Below are 23,232 nucleotides of genomic sequence, written 5' to 3' on the forward strand. Positions count from 1 at the left end.
GTCCTCAGTGGGGAGGGCCTGAGAGCAGGACTACCAGCAGCCCCCACGCCTTCTCTATCTCCTTCCGGACCCCCAGATCCCTGTCCCTGGTGAGGATGCCCCCACTCCACCCGCAACCCTCGCCAGGGAAAAAGGGAGGCTGGGCTAAGGGAGCCTCACTCCCGGGGACCACAGAACAGGGCTGTGCAGCCCCCAAGTCACGCCCCTCCACACCCCCAGTCCAAGAAGACATACGAGCAGAAGTGCCGGGACGCGGACGACGCGGAGCAGGCCTTCGAGCGCATTAGCGCCAACGGCCACCAGAAGCAGGTGGAGAAGGTGCGCTGGGCTGCTGGGCCGTGTGGGTCGCCCAGGGCTGGGGGCAGTGGGGGAGGCAAGGAAGGGGTGCCGTAGACACCCCCAGGCAAGATCTGCATCTGGGGATGCTGCTTAGCCCTCTCTGACCCCCAATCTCCCCATCTGTGAAATGGGTTTCCTGGAGAGAACCTCAGGCCATGGACAGGCAGGTCAGCTGGATCCCCTTTGCCACCGTCAGGCGGCACTCAGGGACCCATTCCTCGGTGCAGGCCCACTGAGGCCCACAGGGTGATGAGAGCAGACGCCAACCCTCACACAACCTTGGAGAAGGGCTCAGTAGGCCCATGTCACAGAGAGGAAACTGAGGCTCACAGTAAGTGACTTGTCTAAGGTCTCAGAGCCAGGAAGCAGCAGAAAAGGGACCCCCAACTCAGGTGGTCTAGAGCCCATGCTCCTGATGCTGTGGCCCCTAGGCCAGAGTGGGGGTATCAGAGCTCCCAGAGCCCAGGAAACACATCACTCATTGCACAGACAGGAAGGCTGAGGCCCAGAGAGGGAAGTGGCCTGAGGGTGAGCTGGGGGCAGTCAGTCAGGGGCCAGAGCCCAAGTCCCAGCCAGGGGGCTCAGCAGTAGTTGCACCTCTCCTGTGGGTTGTGGTCTCACTCTTCACAGGCATCCTCCTGGGCTCGGTTCCTGTCTTCGTTCTCTTTCCATGGAGCTAGCCTGTGGTCCTCTGTGGGCGGAGGTTGCTTGTGGATGATGGCATCTGCCCATAGTTGGCTCCTGAATGTTCCCCCCAGGGTGGCCGGGGAAGCTTGACAGTCACTTCAGGTCTGCTGGGGTGGGCCCTGGCTCCTGGGGCAGGGGCTTAGCGCTGCTTCCCCTCTGTTTCCTCAGAGTCAGAACAAAGCCAGGCAGTGCAAGGACTCGGCCACCGAGGCAGGTATGTGGGCCTGGCTGCCCCGTCCGACCAGGGCGGAGGCCTGGGCGGTACTCCCCACACACACCTCCTCACCCTGGGGACACACACACTCCCCCTGGCTGCACAATCATGGGCGCGGCGCTCTCATTCCAGATATGTGCCGTCAAAGTAAACGCTGTGTTCCCCCATTCGCCAGCCCTTCTTGGCGCTTCATGTGTTCAGTCCTCACAGCTGCCCTCCGAGGTGGCTGCTGTTACTGTTCCCTTTCTTAACAGATGAGGAAACAGAGGCACTAAAAGGTCCAGTACTTGCCCCAGGTTACAGCTGCATTTGAACCCAGGCCATCGGGCTTCAGAGCCCAGGACTTGTGCACATAGCCTTCTCTGGGCCTCTGTCCTTCACTTGATGCCCGAATCCTACCAACACTCTTGTCCCTGCTGGTGCCCCACCCACCAGACACAGCACCCACCCTCCTCCCTTCCCCTGGGAAGGCCTCTCCCTTCTGCTCTGCCTTTACTGGGACTCAGCTACTCCCTCGGCTGGGGGACAGGTGACCTCCAGAGATCTGGGCACAGAAGTTGTGACCCAAGCCTGTGGGACTCCACCCCTCCTCCAGCGCCCTCTCAGCTGCCTTCTCTGAACCTCAGTTTCCCCTCTGGAAAGTGAGGTGGGGCGCCCAGAGATGCCCAGAGGCCAATACTCTGGACTTGCATATATGAGGCTCCACTCCAGCCCTCAGGCAGCTCAGAGCACAGTTGGGGAGCAGCAGCAGCACCAGCGTGGGTGGCCCTGACGGGCATTCAGATGAGGCCCCGCCATCTGCTAGGGCAGGTCCCATGGGGGAGGCGGGGCTCCCAGTGGGAGGAGGCATCCAGGATGGGACCTGCTGGAGTACAGGGGTGGAGGAGCTCGTGTCAGGGCCCTCCCTGAGGCTGCCTGCGCTTTCAGAGCGGGTATACAGGCAGAGCATTGCGCAGCTGGAGAAGGTCCGGGCTGAGTGGGAGCAGGAGCACCGGACCACCTGTGAGGTGAGTGGCCCACGTGGAGCCTCGTTTTCCCCAGCTGGGAAGTGTGAGACGCCCATCCCTACTCCAGCTGCTTAAAGGGGCCCAAGTGAGGCAGTTGGGGAAGGTACCTGTTACTCACTCGTTTATTCAGCCTCCTGCTCACAGGCCTGTGCTGGGCCCTGGCCCTGTTGCTTGTCGCCTGGCCTTGAGTCCTGGGCCCCTTCGTTGCAGGCAGGCATTCTTCCACCCTCTTTGTTGAAGCCAAAACTGGGACTTGGACTAAACCCACAGCCTCTCTGGGTGCTGCCGATGGACAGGGCCTGGGGAACAGGGCTCAGGACTCCCGTCCGAGGTCCCTCTCACTACCCTTCTGCCTCGGTGTGGTGCAGCCTGAAGGGAGGCTGGGGCAGGGACCCCCTGGGCATCTCCACCTCCCTCCCTGCAGCCTCAGGGCTGGCCCGGAGTCGGGATGGGGACCCCAGGGCACTCTCTCCTTTGGACTGGGCTTCCAGCAGAGAGGGCTGGCCTGGTCAGCTCCGGCTGAGCTGTGAATGGGGCCCAGCCTGGCCGGGCCCTGCAGCCGCCTCCTCACTGCTCACCTCCCTCCCACTGCCCCCAGGCCTTTCAGCTGCAAGAGTTTGACCGGCTGACCATTCTCCGCAACGCCCTGTGGGTGCACAGCAACCAGCTCTCCATGCAGTGTGTCAAGGATGATGAGGTGGGGGCTGAGGGCCTTGGTGTGGGGTAAGGTAGGGCAGCCTCTAGGCAGCAAAGCACCCAGGTCCATCTGAGCCGGTCAACAAGCACCTGGTCCTCTGTGATCCAAGCCTGGCCCCAGGGGTCTCAGGCCTCAGCAGCTCAGCCTTTGCCCCCAGAACCCCAAGACAGGAGCTCAGTACCACACAGGGCCATGGCTTCTCTGCCTGGAAGATGATGACTCTGTGGTTCCCCTGACTTCCTCCTTATGCCTCAGAGCCACAGAGCACCTGCCCCCTCTGCCGGGGATGGGAGGGGAGGTGGACACAGCTGTCAGAGGTTGGCAGAAGCTGGAGGACCGTGGCTGCTCTGCTCTAGGCCTGGTGCTTGCAGGAGCCGAGGCGCAGTCCTTCCTCTGCTCCCCACATCTCCAGGGTGTCCTGGTTCCCCTTACTGAGCCCAACCTGCTGGGTGGGTCCTCCCCAGCAGAGAGGGCCCCCAGCCAGGGTCCCTGAGCTCTGTGGATGGATGCAGCCCAGCACACGGCTCTCCCGGGCAGCCCTGGCCCCCTTGCCTGCTGTGTTTCCTGCCTGACGCTCCTGTCCGGGGCTGTGGGGGTTGATTTTCTTGTTGTTTTTGCCCAAGTGACTCGAGCCCCCTGCTGCCTCCTCGCCTCCTTGAGGTAGAAGGGCGAGCTCTGGACCCACTCTCCTAGCCCCAAGGCCTGGCTGTGCTGCATTCTCGCTGTGACCTTGGGCAAGTCACTCTCCTCTGAGTTTCCTCATCTATCCAATGGGAAAAGTGGGGTCTACCTTAGAGGACAGGTGTGAGTTAAGTCCCTTGCACAGGGCCTTGCACACAGAAGGTGTTCAGGAAACAGGAAGCTGTCAGCCAGGGCCGTGACCCCTCAGGATCAAAGACCCCGAGCCGCGCACAATGGCCTGTGAGGAGGCCGGTGGGTGGGGGCCGCTGGTCAGAGTTCAGGCCCACAGAGGGGCAGAGTGGGCATCGGGCTGCGGCCTCTGCTCTTTCCTGCCCCAGCTCTACGAGGAAGTGCGGCTGACGCTGGAAGGCTGCAGCATAGACGCCGACATCGACAGTTTCATCCAGGCCAAGAGCACGGGCACAGAGCCCCCCGGTGAGGTCCGGCTTGCGGACAGCGCAGCCTCTAGGTGCATTGAGCCCCTGGGAAGGCCCGGCCCTGAGCCTCAAGTGCCAGGACCGGGCTGGGGTAGCTCACAGCTCCCTTCAGGGCAGAGAAGCCCTAGCAGGGGTTGTGGGGAGTTGGGTCCCAGGCCTGCTGCCTCCTCTCAGGCAAAGCTAAGGGCATGATGGCACTCAGAGGAAGAGGTGGGGATGGGGATTGAGGTGAGGAGCTCCCACGGCCCCCACTCCCCGCCTGTTTGGTTCCACTGGATCACGGGTCCAGAATATTAGGTCTTGATGGTACCTACGGTGGGGTCTCTCATGGGAGCAAGACAGGCACCTCCTCAGGCACCAGGATGGGCCAGGGCCAGATTGGGAATGTAGGGCCCCAGCTGAGTCTGGCAGGGCCAGAATGGGGTGTTGGGGGCCGCCCTGGGGCTCACGGCTTGCTGTCTGCAGCTCCGGTGCCCTACCAGAACTATTACGATCGGGAGGTCACCCCGCTGACCAGCAGCCCTGGCATACAGCCGTCCTGCGGCATGATAAAGAGGTGAGGCCCCGACAGACGGAGGGAGGGCCTAAGGCTGGGCCAGGAAGTGGGTCGAGCCCCTCCTCTGCACCTGGCCCTTCCTCGTTCACTGAGCACCTACTATGTGTCTGTATCTGGTGCCCAGTTTAGGTGCTGGGCACTCTGTGGAGACAAGATAGGCTCAGTTCAGCCTATGGAACCCTCAGCCCAAGGGACCCAGACACTAGAATAATCACACCCCAATTATTCACTAGGGGAGGTGCTCCGAGCTCTGGGGAGGCCCCTATGCTGGCTTCCTTGTCCCTGGGGCCTCATGTGAGCCTGGTGCCCTGTCAGGCTGCAGTGGCAACGCTGTCTGGCTGGAGCAGGACTGGGGCATCTGGAGAATTCTCCAGGCTTTTCCAGGGCTCCTTCCCCGGCCTGGCTGCAGTCAAGTGCCAAGGTCCTAGTGCTGGGCCTCAATGTGTGACCTGGGCAAGTCATTCACACTCTCTAAGGCCAGGGCCCTGAGTGTTGGGGTCAGATTCAGAATCTAAGGACTCTCCTGGTTCAGGCCTTGAGTGACGAAGGTGACAGCCCATTGGGAGCACTATAGCCAGCTTAGGGAGCCCTCGTAGCCAGGCCTTTGAGGGAGGCCATGTGCCCTGTGAGCATCCACAAGGGTCTGTGGGTTTCACATGGTGCCTGTGCCCCCACCGCCATGCCACCACTCTTCAGCCACCCTTCAACCAAGAAGGCCCTGCCTCTGGGAGGTAGTGGACTGTGGGGAGAGGCTGATGCAGTTCCCGGCCCTTCCCAAGGACCAGCTCATTCCAGGGCCTCAGGAGCCCCTGGAACTTCCTACTCCTGGGAGGCAGAGGCTCGTGGGAACCACCCGTGCTTAGAGAGGGCACACACACACCCTCTTTGAGAATCTTGTGCAAGCAGTGACCCCAGGAGGCAGCACACCCGCAGCCTCACATGCTACAAAAGCTTGTGAGACAGGCTTCCCTGTGCCTGGTGAGGACCTGGATCCCAGCAAAGGTGGTCATTTAAGCAACTGGACAAAAGAGCTCACCTGAAGCAGTATCAGGAAGGGGCAGAAAGGAGTGGCCCCAGAGAGGATTAGAGAGAGAGAGAGAGATGTCCTGCAGGGCCGAGGGAGGCCTGGCTGCTGGAGGGGGCTGGTCAGGCCTCTGGATGGGGCATCTAGAAGCCAGGCAGGACTGGGAAGAGGCGGGGGTCAGTGACTGGGAGTCAGAAGTGTAGACAGTCTGGGGAAAAGAGGTGTGGGGGCACGCAGCACAATGGCTCAGCAAGCCCTGCACCCCTTTCCCCCTGCCCTGGCCGCTTCCTCCACCTGTCCCCAGCCCCTGCTGGCTTGCACCCTGTCCTTTGCTGCCTGGGGAGCTGGCACGTGTGTCTGCCCGCCTGTGTTGGTGTCAGGCCCTCCCATGTGCTGGGTCCACGCATGTCCACCCTGCGCATGTGTGTGCACTCCTGGGGCCTTGGCCCTCGGCGCCTCATGTGGGAAAGGCCCCCCACATGCCACCTTGAATTGCAGGGCTGCCCCCCACAGGCCCCTGAGTCATGGCTCAGCCCCTCACCTGCATTCAAGATCCCTCAGGGTCTGGTCCAGTCTCTATTTCAGTCCTGTCCCCCACACACCCAAATTGGTCCACTCCACTCCACAAACCCCACCTGTGCCATGCCTCCTCCCCTGCACCTGAGCCCTCCCTCTCCTGGTCACCTGCAGTGCCTCGCTCCCCCTTCTCTCCTAGTAAAGCTTCACTCATCTTTGAAGACTCAGCCCCACCCCACTAAGAAGCCCTCTTGCCTTGGAGGCAGTGTCAGCCTCTACTTGTTGAGCCCTCACTACTGCCCACTTCAGGGGGTGCCCCCAGCATCTGCCGCATCTGCCTCTTCTGTTTTATTTTCCTTTATTCAGTAAACCTTCATGACCCCAGCTCAGTCCAGGCCTAAGCCTGGTGCAGGGGCAGGGGTAAAGTAGCCCAGCGCTGTCCCGGAACTCCTGTGAACAGGGTGGCTGAGCTGGCCTGATCACCGTGGGCCCACAGGGAGGAGGGCTGGCTCGGCCCAGGCAGTGGAGGCCTCAGCAGGGCACGTGAGCCAGGCTTTGTGTGGCAGTGCACCCCCCACCCCTACCCATGGGGGAAGCTGCTAGGGCAAGCTAGAGCAGGGGCCTGGAGGGTGAGGACTGGGCATCTTCCCACGAGGCCTCAGTGCGGAGGTCCTAGAACCCCCAAAGGGCCATGGGAGTCTTCCAATGAAGCTACAGCTTCGGGGGTTCTAGGATCCTCCCAAGGGCCCTGCAGGGAGCAGGTGCTGAGATGGCCTGCAGAGGGCGCCAGTGGAGGGCGTAGCTGGGGAAGGAGGAGCCACCAGGACTACTTTCTGGGGAGCCCTCCTGCCTGAGGGGCACCTCATAAATGACATCCATGCCTGGAGGCTAGGGGCAGTCCCAGCCCTGGCAGAGCGCGTGCAGCTCTGAGACCTCTCCCTGTCTAAACCCTCCCTCCTGGTGGGTCCCTGAGTGTGGGGCGGGGACACTCACCCTCTTTCCTCCCTGTTCCCAGGTTCTCTGGACTGCTGCACGGAAGTCCCAAGACCACTTCGTTGGCAGCTTCTGCTGGTAAAGGGGGTCAGGAGGGGACCCCCAAACACACTGATCCTGGGGGGGAGGAGAGGTCTCCCACATGGCACAGATGGGGCCACTGAGGCCCTCAAGAGGAAGTGTGTGTCCCCCAACAGCAAGTGTGGACAGCAGAAGGAAGAGGCAGGGCCCAGCATGGAGAAACCCCATTCTAGTAGGACTTCCAGGGGCCAGTGTCCCCAGAAGGGGAGGGGTCTATGTCTCACCCTGCTCTTAGCGTCCACAGAGACCCTGACCCCCACCCCCGAGCGGAATGAGGGTGTCTACACAGCCATCGCAGTGCAGGAGATACAGGGAAACCCGGCCTCACCAGCCCAGGAGTACCGGGCGCTCTACGATTATACAGCGCAGGTGAGGCCTCTATACCCCAAACCCACCTGTGCCACCTCCCCTGCACCTGAGAGCTCCCTCTCCCATCCAGTGCCTTGCGTCCTCATCTCTCCTCATGGTTTCACTCATCTTCGAGCATCCTCTCCTCCTCAGGAGGGCACGTGTGCCCGAGTGTGTCCACACTAGCAAGGGTACCTGGGAGTGTGCTTGGATGTGAGCTCTGAGAACAGCACCCAGGGCTTGCGGGGCCTCAGTGTGCATGTACTGACTGGAAGCTGGTGTGCAGCAGGCCTGTGTCTGCCCGGGCCTGTACACAGCACACACGTGGAGCACATGTACCTATGCCGTCCACACAGGCTGGGCGCTGAGTGGTGCACACGTGCGGGGAGCTGGCAGAGCCTGGAGCTGCCTGCAGGTCATAGCTTGAGGGCCAGGCTCTGTGCCTTTGGGTCAGGGCCCTGTCCTTCGTGGCCATGGGTGTGGAAAACTGTGGCCAGAATGAGTCTTGCTATCGTGCCAGGATTGATTTTCTGATGTCCATAGGGTGAGGATGAACCAAGGCAGCCACAGGGCAGCTATGAGAGTCCTTTCTGCTCCCTGCTTGAGGGGAAGAATGCATAGCCAGACCTCACATCCACCTGGACTGAGGCCAAGCACCCCCACATAGCCAGGCAGGCTGGGTGTGGACTCCACTGATGAGGCCAGGGCTCGGGGAGGCAGGGAAGCCAGGCCAGGAGAGTGATGGGGTACTTGGATGGCAGTGGCTAGCTGGGGCTGGGGACCGCAAAGGGGAGGCTTGTGGTAAGCTTAGGCATGAGTGTGCCCTGGGCTTGGGGTATGATGAGCACCCGTGACCCCTGACATGCTCCAGTCACTGCGTCTCCAGAATGGGAGAGGGGAGGTGAGGCTGGGAAGAAACCCAGGTTGGGGGAGAACTATGATGACAAACTGAGGGGGATGGGAGGCCCGGTCCGTTGGGTTACCCCCATCCTGTGTCCCCAAGGGGCTGCCCCTGCCCACCCTGGGAGACATGCCGCATTTACTGCTGGGTGGGGGAACGCCAGGCCCCTCCCTGCAGGCCCTTCCCTGCAGGCCCTTCCAACGTCATGCGCTTTCAATCTCTTGGCCAGAACCCAGATGAGCTGGACCTGTCCGCGGGAGACATCCTGGAGGTGATCCTGGAAGGGGAGGATGGCTGGTGGACTGTGGAGAGGAACGGGCAGCGTGGCTTCGTCCCTGGTTCCTACCTGGAGAAGCTTTGAGGAAGGGCCAGGAGCCCCTTCGGACCTGCCCTGCCAGTGGAGCCAGCAGTGCCCCCAGCACTGTCCCCACCTTGCTAGGGCCCAGAACCAAGCGTCCCCCAGCCCCGAGAGGGAGCCTGTCGTCTCCCAGGGAATAAAGGAGTGCGTTCTGTTCTCCTTGGTGTGCTGGGGTCCCGTTCTCTTTTTCTCCTGCTCCAGTGTCCGAGTGCTCAGTTCAGAGGAGGCAAAGGAACAAGGGAAGGAGCCTGGATGTGGAGCTCCCCAACTCAGCCGAGGCTTCAGCTATAGTTGGAGAAGAGGCCTGGCCCCAGTTGCTAGGAGCTCCCAGACTGCCAAGGAGACACATTCACACCTGGACAGAGGACACAGGGGTGCAGGAGGATGTGGCAGGGGCAAGAAGGGGCTCAGCAGGGCTGCAATGGGGAGAGCAGGCTTCTTGGGGGCGGAGGGTTGAGCAGGTCCATGGCTGGGCAGCAGTGGCCAGGCCAGGGCAAGTGCGTGGGCAAAGGTGAGGTTGGGGGTACACCCAGGAATATTCGGAGGACTCAGTTTGGAAACAGGAAGCTGGTGATGGATCTGTTGGAGAGGCCATGGTGGGAGCCCAGGAAGACAGGCTTGTGGCTTGTGGGTGCAAGTGGGGCCTGGGGAAGCCACTGCTGCCCATGACACTCCCCTCAACATGGCAACCCCGGCCGAGCAGGGGTCCACAGCCCAGGCACGTTGGCCCCGGGCACAGAGGGAGCTGTTCTTGAAGGCCTTCAGCCCCTTCTCTTTTTAGTCCCAGGAACATAACTTTCACTGCTGGCCAAGCCCTGCTCCAACCATGATAGGCTTCATCCATGCCAAAGGCATTGGGAGTGGGTGTGGAGGAGAGGGCCCCTGGCCATTGACCACTCCTCAGTCCTGGGAGTGGCCAAGCCGGCCCACCTCACACCCTCCTGGGATCCCCACCCGGCTTCGGAGCCAGGCAGGCCCAGGACTGTAAGGGGCGGGATGGGGGACACAGTGGTCCTCCTCTGCTGGGACCACACTGATGAGCTGCTGCAGGGCACTGCTGTTCCCCATGGGGAGGGGGGAGAGAGAAAGGAGGGAGGGGGGAGAGAGAGAAAGGAGGGAGGGGGGGAGAGAGAGAGAGAGAAAGGAGGGGGAGAAAGGAGGGAGGGGGAGAGAGAGAGAAAGGAGGGAGGGGGAGAGAGAGAGAAAGGAGGGAGGGGGAGAGAGACAGAATGCCCATCTTTATACCCTGATCTTTACTTGAGCAAAAAATTGGGTTCAGTTAAGCAAGCATGAGACATGGACATTCTAATGACTCATGTGTGGCCCACACTGTACCTGATGATGGGGGTGTGGTGCTAAAAGGGGCCTCAAAGAGCTCACTCAGCCCAGGAGGACAGACAGCCACCCTCTAGGCCCTGAGATGTGAGGCAGTAAGTGGGGGGAGTGGTTCCAGGGGCTGGTGCAGGCCATCCAGCAGAGGGGAGGGTGGCTTGTCTGGGAAGTGGTGACTGGGCTGGAGAGCAACTCTGGAAGAACACAGGGAGCAGATGGACAGGACTTGGTAACTTACGGGATGGGAGATGGGTGGGAAGAGAGGGAAAGTGAGGAGGTGAGGAGTGACTTCGGAGCCCAGACTTGAAGATGGGCTCCTCCCCAGGTGGAGGAGCTGGAGGGGAGTGGTGCGGGAACAAAGCCTGGGCGAGGGCTGGGAGAGGCGGGACAGCCGCGTAGGCTTACCACTGGGTGGGGCCATGTGTGGGCAGGGAAGGGAAAGGAAAGAGTAAAAAGGTATCAATACTTTACTTATTCCTTGAAGATGCCTTGTCATCTTGATTGAACATTCCATTCCACTGCAAAGATTTTTTAAAAAACCTTTGGCCTAGATATTTATCATCATCTCTGACAGGTGCCGCAGTGTCTGTGGGCCCCAGAGCGTGATGGGTAACAAGTGCTAGATAACAGAGTCTGTTCTCCAGTCATTCGGGTGGCCAGAGAATAGAACTGAAAGCAACTCTTGGGTCACAATTTATGCCAGGGGGAGAATGCCCACAAATGAATCCAAGTCAGATTCACTGCTTCTGCAGCTTTCTCCGTTCTCCCATCACTGGGCACCACCTCAGCTGCTGGGAACCAACTGCATGGATGGATGGCCTTCCCAGCAGAGACGGTGCCAGATAAAGAGGGAGTTAGCGTGTAATTGGGTGTATAAATAACTGCAGCCTCTTCCTGACCGAGGGCCACTCAAAGACAGCAAGGAGCAGGAGGACAAGCATGGTCTCTGAATCACAACATCAGGGCCTGAATCCAGGCTCACGCTTTCTTGGGTGGTCTTAGGCAAGTCACAATTTCTCTGGGCCTGTTTCAGCATCAGTAAGATGGGTGCAATATGCCCCCATGCAAAATCTCCTAAGGTTCAAATTAAACAATGATTAGGTATTACTTACCAGCAAGGGATACCACTTTTAAGGAAAAGACCCACAACCTCTGAATCTTGGCTACACTCAACAGCAGCTTTGCGCTTGGCATAATCCCCCTCGCTCAGCACACCCTCTGGGACAGCTGTGGTTATGTCAGTGAATCCTTCGCAATGATGACAAAAAGCAGCAACTCACGTTTGGCCAAACTGGAAGCACGCGCCACTGGTGTCCAACACCTAATTCCAACCACTCTCACAGCCTTTCCTAGGCCAAGAAACCTCAGCATAAGGGTCACCTGCTTGCCTTGGTCTGACTACCTGGGTGTCTGCCTATTTCTCCATCCCGGCTTTTGAGCCAACACAAGCCCAGGACAAGGTCGCACCAGCAACTGGGCTCGCTGCCCTCAGCACCCTCACGGGATTATCAAACTGTGCTCAGTAGAGCCCTCTTAGGGGCCAGTGGGAGGAGAAAGGGGGCACCCACTCCACTTCGAGATCTACTTGGAGAGTTTACATATTGCACGTGCAGTGGTTCTCAACCCAGCTGCTCAACGGAGTCACCTGAGCAGATTTTCAAATGCTGATGGTTGGGTCCCACCTCAGACAAACTGAAACCAAATCCCTGCAAACTGAGCTTGCGCATAAATATTTGAAACATTCTCCTGGTGATTCTGATACGCAGCCGGAGCTGAGAAACCCCTGGCTAACAGGATCTTCAGCTAAACATTTTTAAAAGTTTGAAAAACAGTTATGGCACCATAGTGACTTATCTCAGGTGATAGTGCCCACTACCTGCCAGATGGTGGGATAACAAAGATCAGCAAGTAGGCCGGGCACGGTGGCTCACGCCTGTAGTCCCAGCACTTTGGGAGGCGGAGGCGGGCGGATCACGAGGTCAGGAGTTCGAGACTAGCCTGACCAACAGGGTAAAACCCCGTCTCTACTAAAAATACAAAAATTAGCCAGGCGTGGTGGTGCGCGCCTGTAATCCCAGCTATGTGGGAGGCTGAGGCAGAACTGCTTGAACCCAGGAGGCGGAGGTTGCAGTAAGCTAAGATCGTGCCACTGAACTCCAGCCTGGATGACAGGGCAAGACTCTGTCTCGGGGAAAAAAAAAAAAAGATCAGCAAGTCTCTTTTCTACCCTATAATTTCTACATCTGTCTTACTTTCTTCATTGGATAAACTCAGGGGAGCAGGATTTATGTATGACTCAACTTCCCCACAAATAGCAATGCAGCAGCACCATTCAGTAGATACGAGGTTTCTGCCACGTCACTGTGTTACACCCTCAGGAGACCTCACAGATCTCACAGGCACTGCAATAGAAAGCCACGTGCAACACACAAGTTATTTTCAAGAACTGCAAGGATGCACCCAAAAAGCAGGTGCTGTTACACACCAACAACCACCAACTCGGAAATAAGTTAGGAAAACCATTGCATTCACAATAGCTACAGACATTAAGCTTCACAGAAAAGTTTCCTAAGTAAACTCTGTTAAGATCCGAAAGAAAAAAACCCAATAACCAATCAAACCGGGCAGAGGACAGAAGCAAAATTCAGAAGATACAAATGGCTGAAACACCTTTAAAAGCATCCTGGCCCTAGCTAACAGTCAAATAAACACATATTTTCATCTCTCAGAATGGAAGAAAAGATGAAGGCTGATCACACCAAAAGTGTCAACAAGGGTGTAAAGAAATGCACATTTCATTCACTGCTGGTGGGAATAGAAATTGATATAAGCTTTCTGGAGAGCAACCAGATGTATCCATGAAAATGTTTAAACGTGACTTTTTTTTTTTTTTTTTTTGAGACAGAGTCTTGCTCTGTCACCCAGGCTGGAGTGCAGTGGCATAATCTCGGCTCACTGCAACCTCTGCCTCCCGGTTCAAGCGATTCTCCTGCCTCAGCCTCCCAAGTAGCTGGGATTACAGGTGCATGCCACCAGGCCCTGCTAATTTTTTGTATTTTTAATAGAGATGGGTTTCACCATGTTGGCCAGGCTGGTTTTGAACTCCTGATCTCAAGTGACCCACCTGTCTCGACCTCCCAAAGTGCTATGATTACAGGCATGAGCCACTGCACCCAGCCAAACATGACTTTTCCATCCAGAGTAAATCCAACTAACAAGAATCCACCCTTGGAGTTCATGTAAAAATACATGACACAGGGTGATGAAAGTGCTTTGAAACTAGATACAGGCAGTGGTTCTATAGCATGGTGAATGTACTCAAGGCAACTTCTTTACTTTAAAATCGTTAATTTTATGCCATGTGAATTGCATCTCAATAAAAATTGTTTTCATTTTAAAAATTGTAAATGACTGCAGTGTGTGTATAGAGATGATCACTGTGGCGAGTAGTGGAGGCACTGGAGGCAGCCTGCAGGCCTGCCCTTTATACACCTTGGTTAATCATGGTACTAATGTACCCACACAGCTAACACAATGGAATGACAAATCCTACAGTTAGACATGGAAGGAGCATCAGACTATGTTGTGAAGACAGAAAGAGGATCTTGTAGGATAAAATTCCTATTAGCAAAAAGCAAAAACCAAAACCCAATACCAAGTCTGTTTCTGTGTATGTAGTCTGCAAAGACACATGCCATTGCTGAACTGCTGAACTTGCTTCCCTGTGGGTACTTCTTTACAGATGTCTGTATTGTTCACATTTTTTAAAGCACCAATTACTTTTGTTTAAAAAAATACACTTAAAAAAGGCAGTAAGACAAGCTCTGTCAATCATCTATAGGACAAGAAGCAAAGACACCCCAGCTGCAATAAGCACACCTAGTGCCAGGGACCAGGGCTCCTGGGACAAACACTGATCCATGGCTGGTGCCCAGGGGCCTGGAACATCTTGTTAGATCAGAAATTAGGGGAGTGCTTCCAAAAATGCTGGGATATAGGAGGCACTCGAAGGGGCTCTCGCTGGCCAAGTCGGGAACTATCTGAGGAACTCTTCCCCCATCCCCAAAGGTCAATGATGAAGTCGACTTTTGAAAAAATGGGAATCCATAGTGGATATATGAAAATAAATGAAGGAGAAGGGAGGGATGACTGGCAAATGAGGAAGGAGTGCTGGGCTGCAGAAACGTCGCTTGGCAGTCATCATAAAGATTGAATCAGGCCAGAATCAGCAACATTTGCTGAACCTGGTCGGGGAATGGGGAAGAGTCTCATGAGGAACAGGGTATGTACATGGAGACAGTGTGTCTCCAGAGATTTCTTATTAGTTGAAAAGAAAAAAACAGTAACCATGCTATGGAGAAAGTGGACACACCTCGACTAGGTGTGCCAGGTACTCATTTATTGCCTCTTAACTCCAAATTTCCCTGACCTTGCCCTTCCTTGTCACACTGAAGAGGGGGCTCTGAAAACTCCTTTACCCTTTGCCAGCCTGACCCACAGTGGGCTCTGAAGGGGCTAACAAGGCTAGAGGAGGAAGATGGCCTTTTTCTTCTGTCTCCTTTCGTCCTGCACGGGTCCCAGCAGCATTCCCCACCGTGACAGCTCTCTGCTCCTGTGGCTTGGCGGGGGGGCACCTCCAGTAAGTTGATTCTCCAGCATGGGACAGGCAGCATATCCCAGGCAACCACAGCCACCCCTCGGAGGTCTCTCCACCTTGGGGAACCTCCTCTGAGTTTCCACGTTCCTTCTCTGTTTTCTCTTCCCTTAGCCCTAGGGGTGATGGCTGTTCTCTGCTAAGCTGCTTTAGAGCTCTTTTTTATCCCTTTTAGTAGTTAACTACCTTCTACACAGTTAACAATTACTTATATTAAAACCTTCCTGTTCACATTTCCTCCTCCTTGGACTAGATGATCAAAACGAACATCCCCACTGTGGGGCAGATGGGCATTGTGTGCCTCGAGATGCGATGCCCTGAGAGGCCGCGTGACGCAGGTAGTGGTTCAGCCACCTGGAATGCAAAACCAAATCTAATCACGAGGAAATCGCAGACAAACACAGATAAGCAGCACCACCTAAAACGAACTGTATCCTTACAAACTGTTCCTATCATCACAGACAAAGCTATGGAAATGATCCAGATTAAAGAAGACCAAGGAGACATGACAACTCAACTGATTACCTGATCCAGACCAGATCCAGCACCGCAGAGGGAAAGGTGCTATAGAGGACACGATGCGGCCAATGGGAATATGAGTGGTGAGGTATTCTATCAGTGTTAGATGGACGGAATTTGACAACTGTACTGCAGTCGTCAGAGAGTATCTTCTTCTTGGTAAGTACCCACTGAGGTATTAGGGGTAAAAGGCCATGACAGGTGTGGAGGCAGCAGGAGGGAGGGAGAGGGAGAGACAGGGGGTTGGCGCAAGGGAGAGAGAACGCACACACATTTGAGAACACACATGACAGATAGAATGGGACGAAATGTTAATAGGTGTATCTGGGCAAAGGATATTTGAGCCTCATTTGTACAGTTTTTATTCTTGCAACTTTTCTGTAGCTTTGAAATCATTTCCAAGTAAAATTAACTTTTTTAAAAGAGGCCATACAATATAGCAGTGGTCCTCAACCAGGGCTGTGTCCTGGACACACCCTAGAGCACCTTAGATGCTCTGGGACCCAGGCATCTGTAGTTCTCAAAGTGCCCCGGTGCTTCCAATGTGCAGCCACGGGCAGGAAACACCAGCCTAGTGGGTGAGCTCACTCACTAAATTTCAGACATGACGAGCAGTGCTTTTGCTCTCTGAAGAACAAGCACTGGGTAATGCCAACACCTAGCCTCAGCTACACGGGGGAAGGGCAGAAACAAGATGTTGAATTTGCATGGCCCTGGCCAACACAGACAACATCCCCTTCTAGTGGTTCCCAGGCAAGAGAAAAAGGCATTTCCAGGACAACTGTGCCAGGAATTAAACACAAGTTAAAACTGGCAGGAGCTGGAATGGTTTCCCAGACCTCAGAGCTACCTCCCCACCTCCATCTTTTTGGTCTCACTGGTAATATGGCCAGTCTGGGTCCAGCTGGCAGAGCACACGGGAGGAGGCTGCTCTCTCACCAGGCAAACTGAGGACTGAGTACAGGAAGGGTGTGGAGAATTATCCTCTTGGGCAAGTTGAAGAACAAGGCTACTGCTTGGCATATTTCCCAAAGCCATTTCCCACTCTAGAGGCCCTGTTCTGTCCTGTAGAAAGAGTGGAGAACAACCAACATCACAGTCCAAATATTGCTCACCTCAGGGCCAGCCTGTGACAGGGTACCCACAGGATGGTTCATATTGAAAACTGGGGGGACCATGCTCGGGGGAGGTGGTGGTAGTGAAAGGTCACAAACATTCTTGCCCACTGTGCAACAGGCAGGGGCAAGAGGTGGGATGGGTCAGTAGTCACATGATAAATCCCCCGGGGCCTCTGAAATCACATTCTGGTAACTTCCACTTTGTGAAAAGGAGTTAGTTTTTACTCCTCTCCTTTCCCGTGTCTTCTCCATTTTCAGGTGGGACAGATCTGCATGATATTTGGGCATCTCAAAACTGACGAGCCCAAAACTGACCATGAGTCACACCCCCAGATGTGTTCTCTAACTACTCCCTAGCTCTGTGACTTTGTTTCCCCAGTTGACTGAGCCAGAAACCTGGGACTCATCCTAGATGAGTCTTCTCTTCTCCCTTCTCTGTCCCACGTCCAATCAATGATCGAATTCCACCACTGTCCTGCCTCCAAACAGCCAGAATCCACCGCTCACCACCGCCCCCAACAGTGCCCTGCTGCCCACTGCTAAGCTCTCTCAACTGCTATGCCAGCCTAACTGAAGCCCAGTCACACCAATTCATCCTGGCTTCAGCACGGCCGGCTTGCATCACCACCTTCTTCTCAGTTCACCTTCCAAATCAAACCTCCAAAGAGCTGCTTCCACCTACAAGTCAGCTCTCACCTCCACAGGATGTTCCGTAAGACACTAGAGGGCCTGGGCTTTCCTGCTTCTCCAACTTCTTTCCCCAGCCTTGTATTTTAAGCTCCCTGCACACACAATTTTGTTTCACACTCTTGTGTACCATCTTTCAACAAAGCCTATCCAGCCTCCAAGCTTGGGCATCTCCTCCAGGAAGTCACCCCTGACCTCTCCGGAACTCCCCTTTGGACTCCCATTCTATTACTACAACCACTGCAGTGTGAAAATTATCTTCTCCTATGTATGTCTCCTATACTAGGACTCCGAACTCCTTGAAGACAAGGACAGTATCGCCACTGTATCCCCAGTGCATTGCACAAAGTAGAGCTCTATATTTCTAGGATATACTGGACTGAAAGCATCTGTGGTTTTTTGAATATCAAGCCCTTTAGAATCTGGCAACAGCTATAACGAAAACACACGTAAACCATGATGAACTATAGACAGCACCAACAAAGAAAACATGATACTGCTGCTCTGGAACTGAAATATCCCCCAAATAATGAAAAATAATATGTTGGGGGCTGATACAGAGTTTATTGAATTAGATTTTTCTATTTACAACTGAGATCACATCTACATACTATTTTGCTAGTCTACATGGGTACATTATTTCCAACAAGCTTAAGACTTACCATGAATGGGCTCATTCATACAAAAACACACTCACACTAATTCTTTTAAAACAGTAGTGCATACATTATACTCCTCCTATAAAGCCAACTTTGATTAAAAACCACTAGTTTCAAAGCTCAGTCTCTGATTTTGAAGATGAACCAAGATATACGCCATATGATCCTACAATCTATTTTAGTCATTTTGTACAGCTGCTATCTTATTGGACTACAGTAAATATTTTTTAAAAGGACACCAATGAGGGGCACCATCTGGTGTTAACCTTAACCAGAAAGCTGGTTTCCTCCTCCTCCCCGCAAAAACCTTTGGCCAAGAGTTCTCCACTGTGAAGACTGAAAGGACCTGGTGACATTTCGGCATCAGTCCTGTTACCACTTGGAGGTAACAGAAGCAGGCTCGTGTCCTCCTTTAATTCTACCACACTACATGACTCGCAATTGGTTCTGAAATTAGAACGTTCACCATCGTACTTAAAATCTTAGGGGCATGAAGAGTCAGCTAGAACAAGGAAAAAGAAAGTCGCAGGTAGTAGGTAAGTAGGTGGGCACATGAAAAGCCAAGCTGCTCTGTCCAACACCAGTGTACATGTGCTTTAACTAAATGAACTCCAGAGGCCAACAGCAGCAGACCTGCTCAATTCACCTTCCAAATCAGAACAAGACCAAAAAGCTCAGGCTTGAGTTGTCAACTATGCATAGGTTCCGCCAGTGATGAGGAGCTCGTAAGCAGGATCTCTACTCCTTCTGCACAACACGATGCAAGCACACAGCATGCCCAGCAGCTGTTGAAAGAAAACAACAATGGGGAAAAAAGGCTGAAAACCCTCTCATGGCAGGTGTGTATTTCTTTGTTGGTAAAAGAGCTGTTTCAAAGTTCAATGACTTCAAATCATCAAAAAGGCAGTAACAACAGTGATAGAAGGAATTTCTTATGAGTACATTATTTTTTAAGGAACTAAGTCCTAAGCTTCAGCTTCCCTCCCAGGAACTCTTCGTAAAGCCAGCAGGGAATCAAGTCTCTCTTATTTGGCATCCCCACTACTAGTCTAGCGAGTGCTGTCCGAAAGAACTTTCTGCAGCGATGGAGACATACCACATATGCACTGTCATGTGGCCTCATGTGACTACTGAGCACCTGAAATATAGTTACTGCAACTGAGTTGCACTTTTAATTTTATTTAAATTAATTTAAATGTAGACACATGTGGCTAGTGGCTACCATTCTGGACAGCAAAGGCCTGGGGAGTAGAATGAGCAAGAATGTGTGTGTTTAATAGTGGTCTTTTCAGGTCTTTTGGTTTTTGGAAAACGAAATTCAGTATGTGAATAGCCCTATGGTAGAAAACAAATTCTGATGCCAAAAAAAATGTAGTTGGAAGGTTTTTTGTTTCCTTCACATTCACTATTTTTGAAATCCACGGTTCTGTGGTATTACATACATATTACTTTTGAAAGGTCACTCTTCCGTCATCATTTTATTTCAATAAGTCCTAAACCTTCTGTGGTAGCATATTGGAATAGTAATAAAGTCATGCCATGTTATTTTGGATAAGCAAAAGGATTAAGCTGGATTAAAGAGAAAATGATTCTAGAATTTTTGACCTACCTTCTCCCAAAATATAATTTTTTTGTGAGATAATTTGCTGTTCTAACTTCTCATTGATGAGGAAAAGCCTCAGTTATTTGATTTTAAAAGACAGGGTCCTCTGTACATTTGGGGGTCAATCTAATTTCCGCAAAATGTACCCAATCCATAAACAGACTCTCAAAGTTTGAAGTGGAAGATTAACCACTACTAAGACACACATACACATAAGGATGTCCTCAATCTGAATTCTCCATGGTATAAAGTCACCCACTCCAATTTCTACCCTCACATTAACCTATATTCTGCCCATTCGGGATATATATTTCCTGCTCAAATCCATCAGTTTCACTATTTCACCACTTGCACCATTTGCACCATTTCACCATTTGCAAAGCACCTTAAACACACTTAAGAGGTGAATATTATTTAAAGTTTACTAAACAATTTAAGTCAATTCTAGACCGATGAAGTACCTAATTCCTAGAGAAATACATTTCTGTTCTCTGTACATCAAAACATTGTTAGAACAGCTATAAACTCAAATGCAATTATGTTCTCAGGCAATGTTAAATTGAGCAATAAAAATGCTAAGCTCAGAAATGACTGGTTTGCTAAGGGAAAAAAAATCTCTCTTCCCACCCCCACCTCCCCACACTCCTTTCAATTGGTTAACTTCTATTAGAGAAGCCAGCATTCTCAAAATGAGGTCTGAAATAAGTATTTCTTTCCCAATTTGTTTATTTCAATGAAATCAACTTGTATTGATTTTAAAACAAATAAACTTGATAAAATTCTACTCATGCTTGGGAATCAGTCTGCTTAAGAATATTAAGCTCTACATAATAATTTCTTATCCTCACCATTAACTATTACAGGCTCATTTCCAAAGGCCTGCTATACTGAAATTCCATTGATTTTTGAAACATTCCAACAACATACTTGGAAACATTACACAAATATTTTATCTCCAACATTATTTCTTGCAATGAAATACTCTCTTGCAATATTCAAGGCATGAGAATTAAACTTCACTTAGCCCAAATATAACACCCAGCAACTGCAAAAATTGAAAAAAATGACTAGTGGTGATTAAAAAAACTGACTGGCAAAGTAAAATGTTCTATGATATACCATGTTGCTGGTGGTATGGGGAAATAGGCATTCTTATACAAAAATAAGAACTTTTGCACATTAGAAACACTCTTTTCTGAGAAAAAATTGGAAATACCTATCAAAATTCATTCATACATTCTGATACTGTAATTTCATAGTTACAAATTTTTGCTATAAACAGCCCATCAATATTGATTAAAGTATGCCTATAAAATGGAATACTATGCAGACATGAAATTAAAAAGGCAGATCTATATCCAAAATACACTAATTTGTTTTTAAGAAGGTACAAAAGGTTGCAAACTATATGAATTCATTTATATAACATTTTGCAATGTTGGCCAGGGTGTGAGGGGAAGGAGGAGGAAGTTTCTCATTTTAACGAATAACTGGTAATTGAGGAGGAGGAGGAAAGAGCAGTCTCCACCGGCTTCACATGCGGCACAGAGACCAGAAAAAAAGCAACATGGCCTTGGGAAACAGTTCTTTATGAAATCTGCTCTTGATCGTTCTATCTTGAGGATATGCCAACTTCATGAGACCCCAAAGTAAAGACTTAGAACATTTTCCCCGTATTGCCTTTGTAGAGAGACAGCCTTACTCACAGCAGATACTCAGGAGCTTGACAAATCAAAATCTAGATTTTTGTCAATTATTATGACCAGATTCTTTAAATATAAAATTCATAATTGATCATGAGTTAAGAGAGTGGCTACTCTCAAAGAAGTGAAATATCCTGCTAATTAATAAGGGGTACATCAAAATTTTTAAAACCTCATTCTTTTATATTCAAAAGTCCTGTTATTATAATTAATTGGTATTTTTCAGGTTTTTCTTTCTTGGTCACTTTGGTCCTACCCAAATCTAGATTATTTAATGGACTAGAGCAAGAGTCACCAAACATTTTCTTAAAGGGCCATATCATAAATATTTTAGGCTTTCCAAACCAAGACAAAAATCAATCAATATTGTAACTACTCAACTCTGCCATCTTACCTCTGTATTTTATCCAGCTAAAGTGTCAATTAACTGTCAGGTTTCCTGACAAAATTTAGGAATTTAATCTTCTGCAAATCTTATACTTGTAATTGGAGGCAGAGTACAAACAAAGGCAGGGGTCTCTAGAGTTGACACTCTGTGTGATGGTCATGCCACACTATCCTTGCTCACCCAAAATTTTGTGGCTAAACAAAGAGGGCCAAGACTGGAGACTCTCCAACCATCCTCTCCAGCTCTAAATGTCTATATTAGGATCAGTGTATAAGCACAAAAGCTCACTGATCTTTCAGTTATTTCTGCCTTTGTTCAGGTTTTCCACACCCAGGGCACCAATCTATCAGATTTTGAATACCAGAAGCTTAGAATGTTTACAGGTACTCTTAAAAACAATTAGGGAAAATTATTAATTCAGATAAATTTTCTCCCCTTAAAACCCAAGTTTTTAAAATTTTCAAAACCACTAGGTTTTGAGTCTGTGAAAGCTCTGAATCCCTAAACTTAAGCAGCCTTGCTGAAGTGAAAAAATCAAGCTTTATCAGCTTTTACTTAAGTCAGGGTGACTTAAGTATAAAACACATATGGCAGTCATATTTAAATTAAGAGACTAGTTAAAATATTTATTAGCCCCTATTGAAAAATATTTAATAAAGAAATGTCTGGCAGGCTAAGCCGCTTAACTAGATGAGGGACATAGCTAAAGTGATTATTTTTATCAGTCTTCTATATACATGTTGCATATTTCATGACCACAAGTACCATACAGTTCCAAAACTTTTTTGCTGCATGCTAGTACATGTGGCTTTATTACTGAACATAAAATCATTAAGAATGCACAGTTCAGAATTCTATTTGGGAAAAGAGACCTTCCTCATATTTCATTATTTTTAGCTAAATGAATGTGTTTGCATAAATAATCAAAATATGAAATAAATCCCTGCTGATCATCAGATTACTGCTATGCAGAGCTACAGAGTAAATGCTTAGAAGGGCAAAGACCATGGCAAATAAAGAGGTAGGCTTTTTAATGAATCATTTCAGGGCTGTCTGAATATCAGCAAAGTAAACAATCATCCTTTTGCCATTTTAAAAGGCCTTTCCCATTAAATACACTAGCTTCTGTTCAAATATACAAAGAGCAAGCAATCCAAGCAACTTACATTTAAACTAGCAATTACATTGGTTTTATTTAACAAATAAAAGTTATCTACATTTTTCTTTTTTAAAAAAAATTTTTTTTTTGGTAGAAATGGAGTCTTATTGCCCAGGCTGGTCTCAAACTCCTAACATCATGGGATCCTACTCCTCGGTCTCCCAAAGTGCTGGGATTACAGGTGTAACCCATCACACCTGGCTCTTTTAGCTCTTGAAATAGGTTTCAGGCTTAAGAAAGCATAAGCTGAGGCTGGGCGCGATGGCTCACGTCTATAATCCCAGTACTTTGGGAGGCCGAGGCAGGTGGATCACCTGAGGTCAGGAGTTCAAGACCAACCTGGCCAACATGGTAAAAACCTGTCTCTACTAAAAATACAAAAATTAGCTGGGCATGGTAGCGGGAACCTGTAATCCCAGCTACTTGGGAAGCTGAGGCAGAAGAATCACTGGAACCTGGGAGGCAGAGGTTGCAGTGAGCTGAGATCACACCATTGCACTCTAGCCTGGGCAACAAAAGCAAAACTCTGTCGTAAAAAAAAAAAAAAGAAAAGAAAAGAAAAGAAAGCATA

The 23,232-nt window shown here is 51.3% G+C and overlaps 2 protein-coding genes across 22 annotated transcripts in view, besides 4 other annotated features; one reads left to right on the forward strand and one right to left on the reverse strand.

Moving 5' to 3' along the window:
* Positions 1 to 9,141, forward strand: part of PSTPIP1 (proline-serine-threonine phosphatase interacting protein 1) — a 42,796-nt gene extending 33,655 nt beyond the window's left edge. For 7 of the 18 annotated variants that reach the window (NM_001321137.1, NM_001321136.2, XM_011522168.4 and 4 more), the window contains 9 exons: positions 220 to 318; positions 1,195 to 1,240; positions 2,168 to 2,247; positions 2,846 to 2,944; positions 3,964 to 4,060; positions 4,528 to 4,618; positions 7,174 to 7,229; positions 7,468 to 7,601; positions 8,711 to 9,141. In NM_001321137.1, coding sequence (NP_001308066.1) covers positions 220 to 318; positions 1,195 to 1,240; positions 2,168 to 2,247; positions 2,846 to 2,944; positions 3,964 to 4,060; positions 4,528 to 4,618; positions 7,174 to 7,229; positions 7,468 to 7,601; positions 8,711 to 8,842 — 834 coding nt within the window. In that variant the 3' untranslated portion in view covers positions 8,843 to 9,141. Of the gene's footprint in view, positions 1 to 219; positions 319 to 1,194; positions 1,241 to 2,167; positions 2,248 to 2,845; positions 2,945 to 3,963; positions 4,095 to 4,527; positions 4,619 to 7,173; positions 7,230 to 7,467; positions 7,602 to 8,710 lie in introns of those variants that run through there. The other 11 variants (XM_047433276.1, XM_047433277.1, XM_011522163.3 and 8 more) reach the window with 10 other exon arrangements.
* Positions 4,883 to 5,520: an enhancer, noted in NCBI's record as "H3K4me1 hESC enhancer chr15:77325558-77326195 (GRCh37/hg19 assembly coordinates)". NCBI's record gives its function as "activates a minimal SCP1, AML or CMV promoter by ChIP-STARR-seq in primed H9 embryonic stem cells {active_cell/tissue: H9 hESC(primed)}" and the evidence as "EXISTENCE:reporter gene assay evidence [ECO:0000049][PMID:30033119]".
* Positions 6,158 to 6,795: an enhancer, noted in NCBI's record as "H3K4me1 hESC enhancer chr15:77326833-77327470 (GRCh37/hg19 assembly coordinates)". NCBI's record gives its function as "activates a minimal SCP1, AML or CMV promoter by ChIP-STARR-seq in naive H9 embryonic stem cells {active_cell/tissue: H9 hESC(naive)}" and the evidence as "EXISTENCE:reporter gene assay evidence [ECO:0000049][PMID:30033119]".
* Positions 6,796 to 7,431: an enhancer, noted in NCBI's record as "H3K4me1 hESC enhancer chr15:77327471-77328106 (GRCh37/hg19 assembly coordinates)". NCBI's record gives its function as "activates a minimal SCP1, AML or CMV promoter by ChIP-STARR-seq in naive H9 embryonic stem cells {active_cell/tissue: H9 hESC(naive)}" and the evidence as "EXISTENCE:reporter gene assay evidence [ECO:0000049][PMID:30033119]".
* TSPAN3 (tetraspanin 3) overlaps positions 13,070 to 23,232 on the reverse strand; it is a 29,706-nt gene continuing 19,543 nt past the window's right edge. For all 4 annotated transcript variants that reach the window (NM_001168412.2, NM_198902.3, NM_005724.6 and 1 more), the window contains one exon: positions 13,070 to 18,593. In NM_001168412.2, the coding sequence (NP_001161884.1) occupies positions 18,501 to 18,593 (93 nt within the window). In that variant the 3' untranslated portion in view covers positions 13,070 to 18,500. The remainder of the gene's footprint in view (positions 18,594 to 23,232) is intronic.
* Positions 14,804 to 16,003: an enhancer, noted in NCBI's record as "BRD4-independent group 4 enhancer chr15:77335480-77336679 (GRCh37/hg19 assembly coordinates)". NCBI's record gives its function as "activates an origin of replication core promoter dependent on BRD2, P300/CBP, MED14 and CDK7 cofactors, and independent of BRD4, by STARR-seq in HCT116 cells {active_cell/tissue: HCT116}" and the evidence as "EXISTENCE:reporter gene assay evidence [ECO:0000049][PMID:35650434]".

This window comes from Homo sapiens, chromosome 15, assembly GCF_000001405.40.
Source record: "Homo sapiens chromosome 15, GRCh38.p14 Primary Assembly".
Classification (NCBI taxonomy): domain Eukaryota; kingdom Metazoa; phylum Chordata; class Mammalia; order Primates; family Hominidae; genus Homo; species Homo sapiens.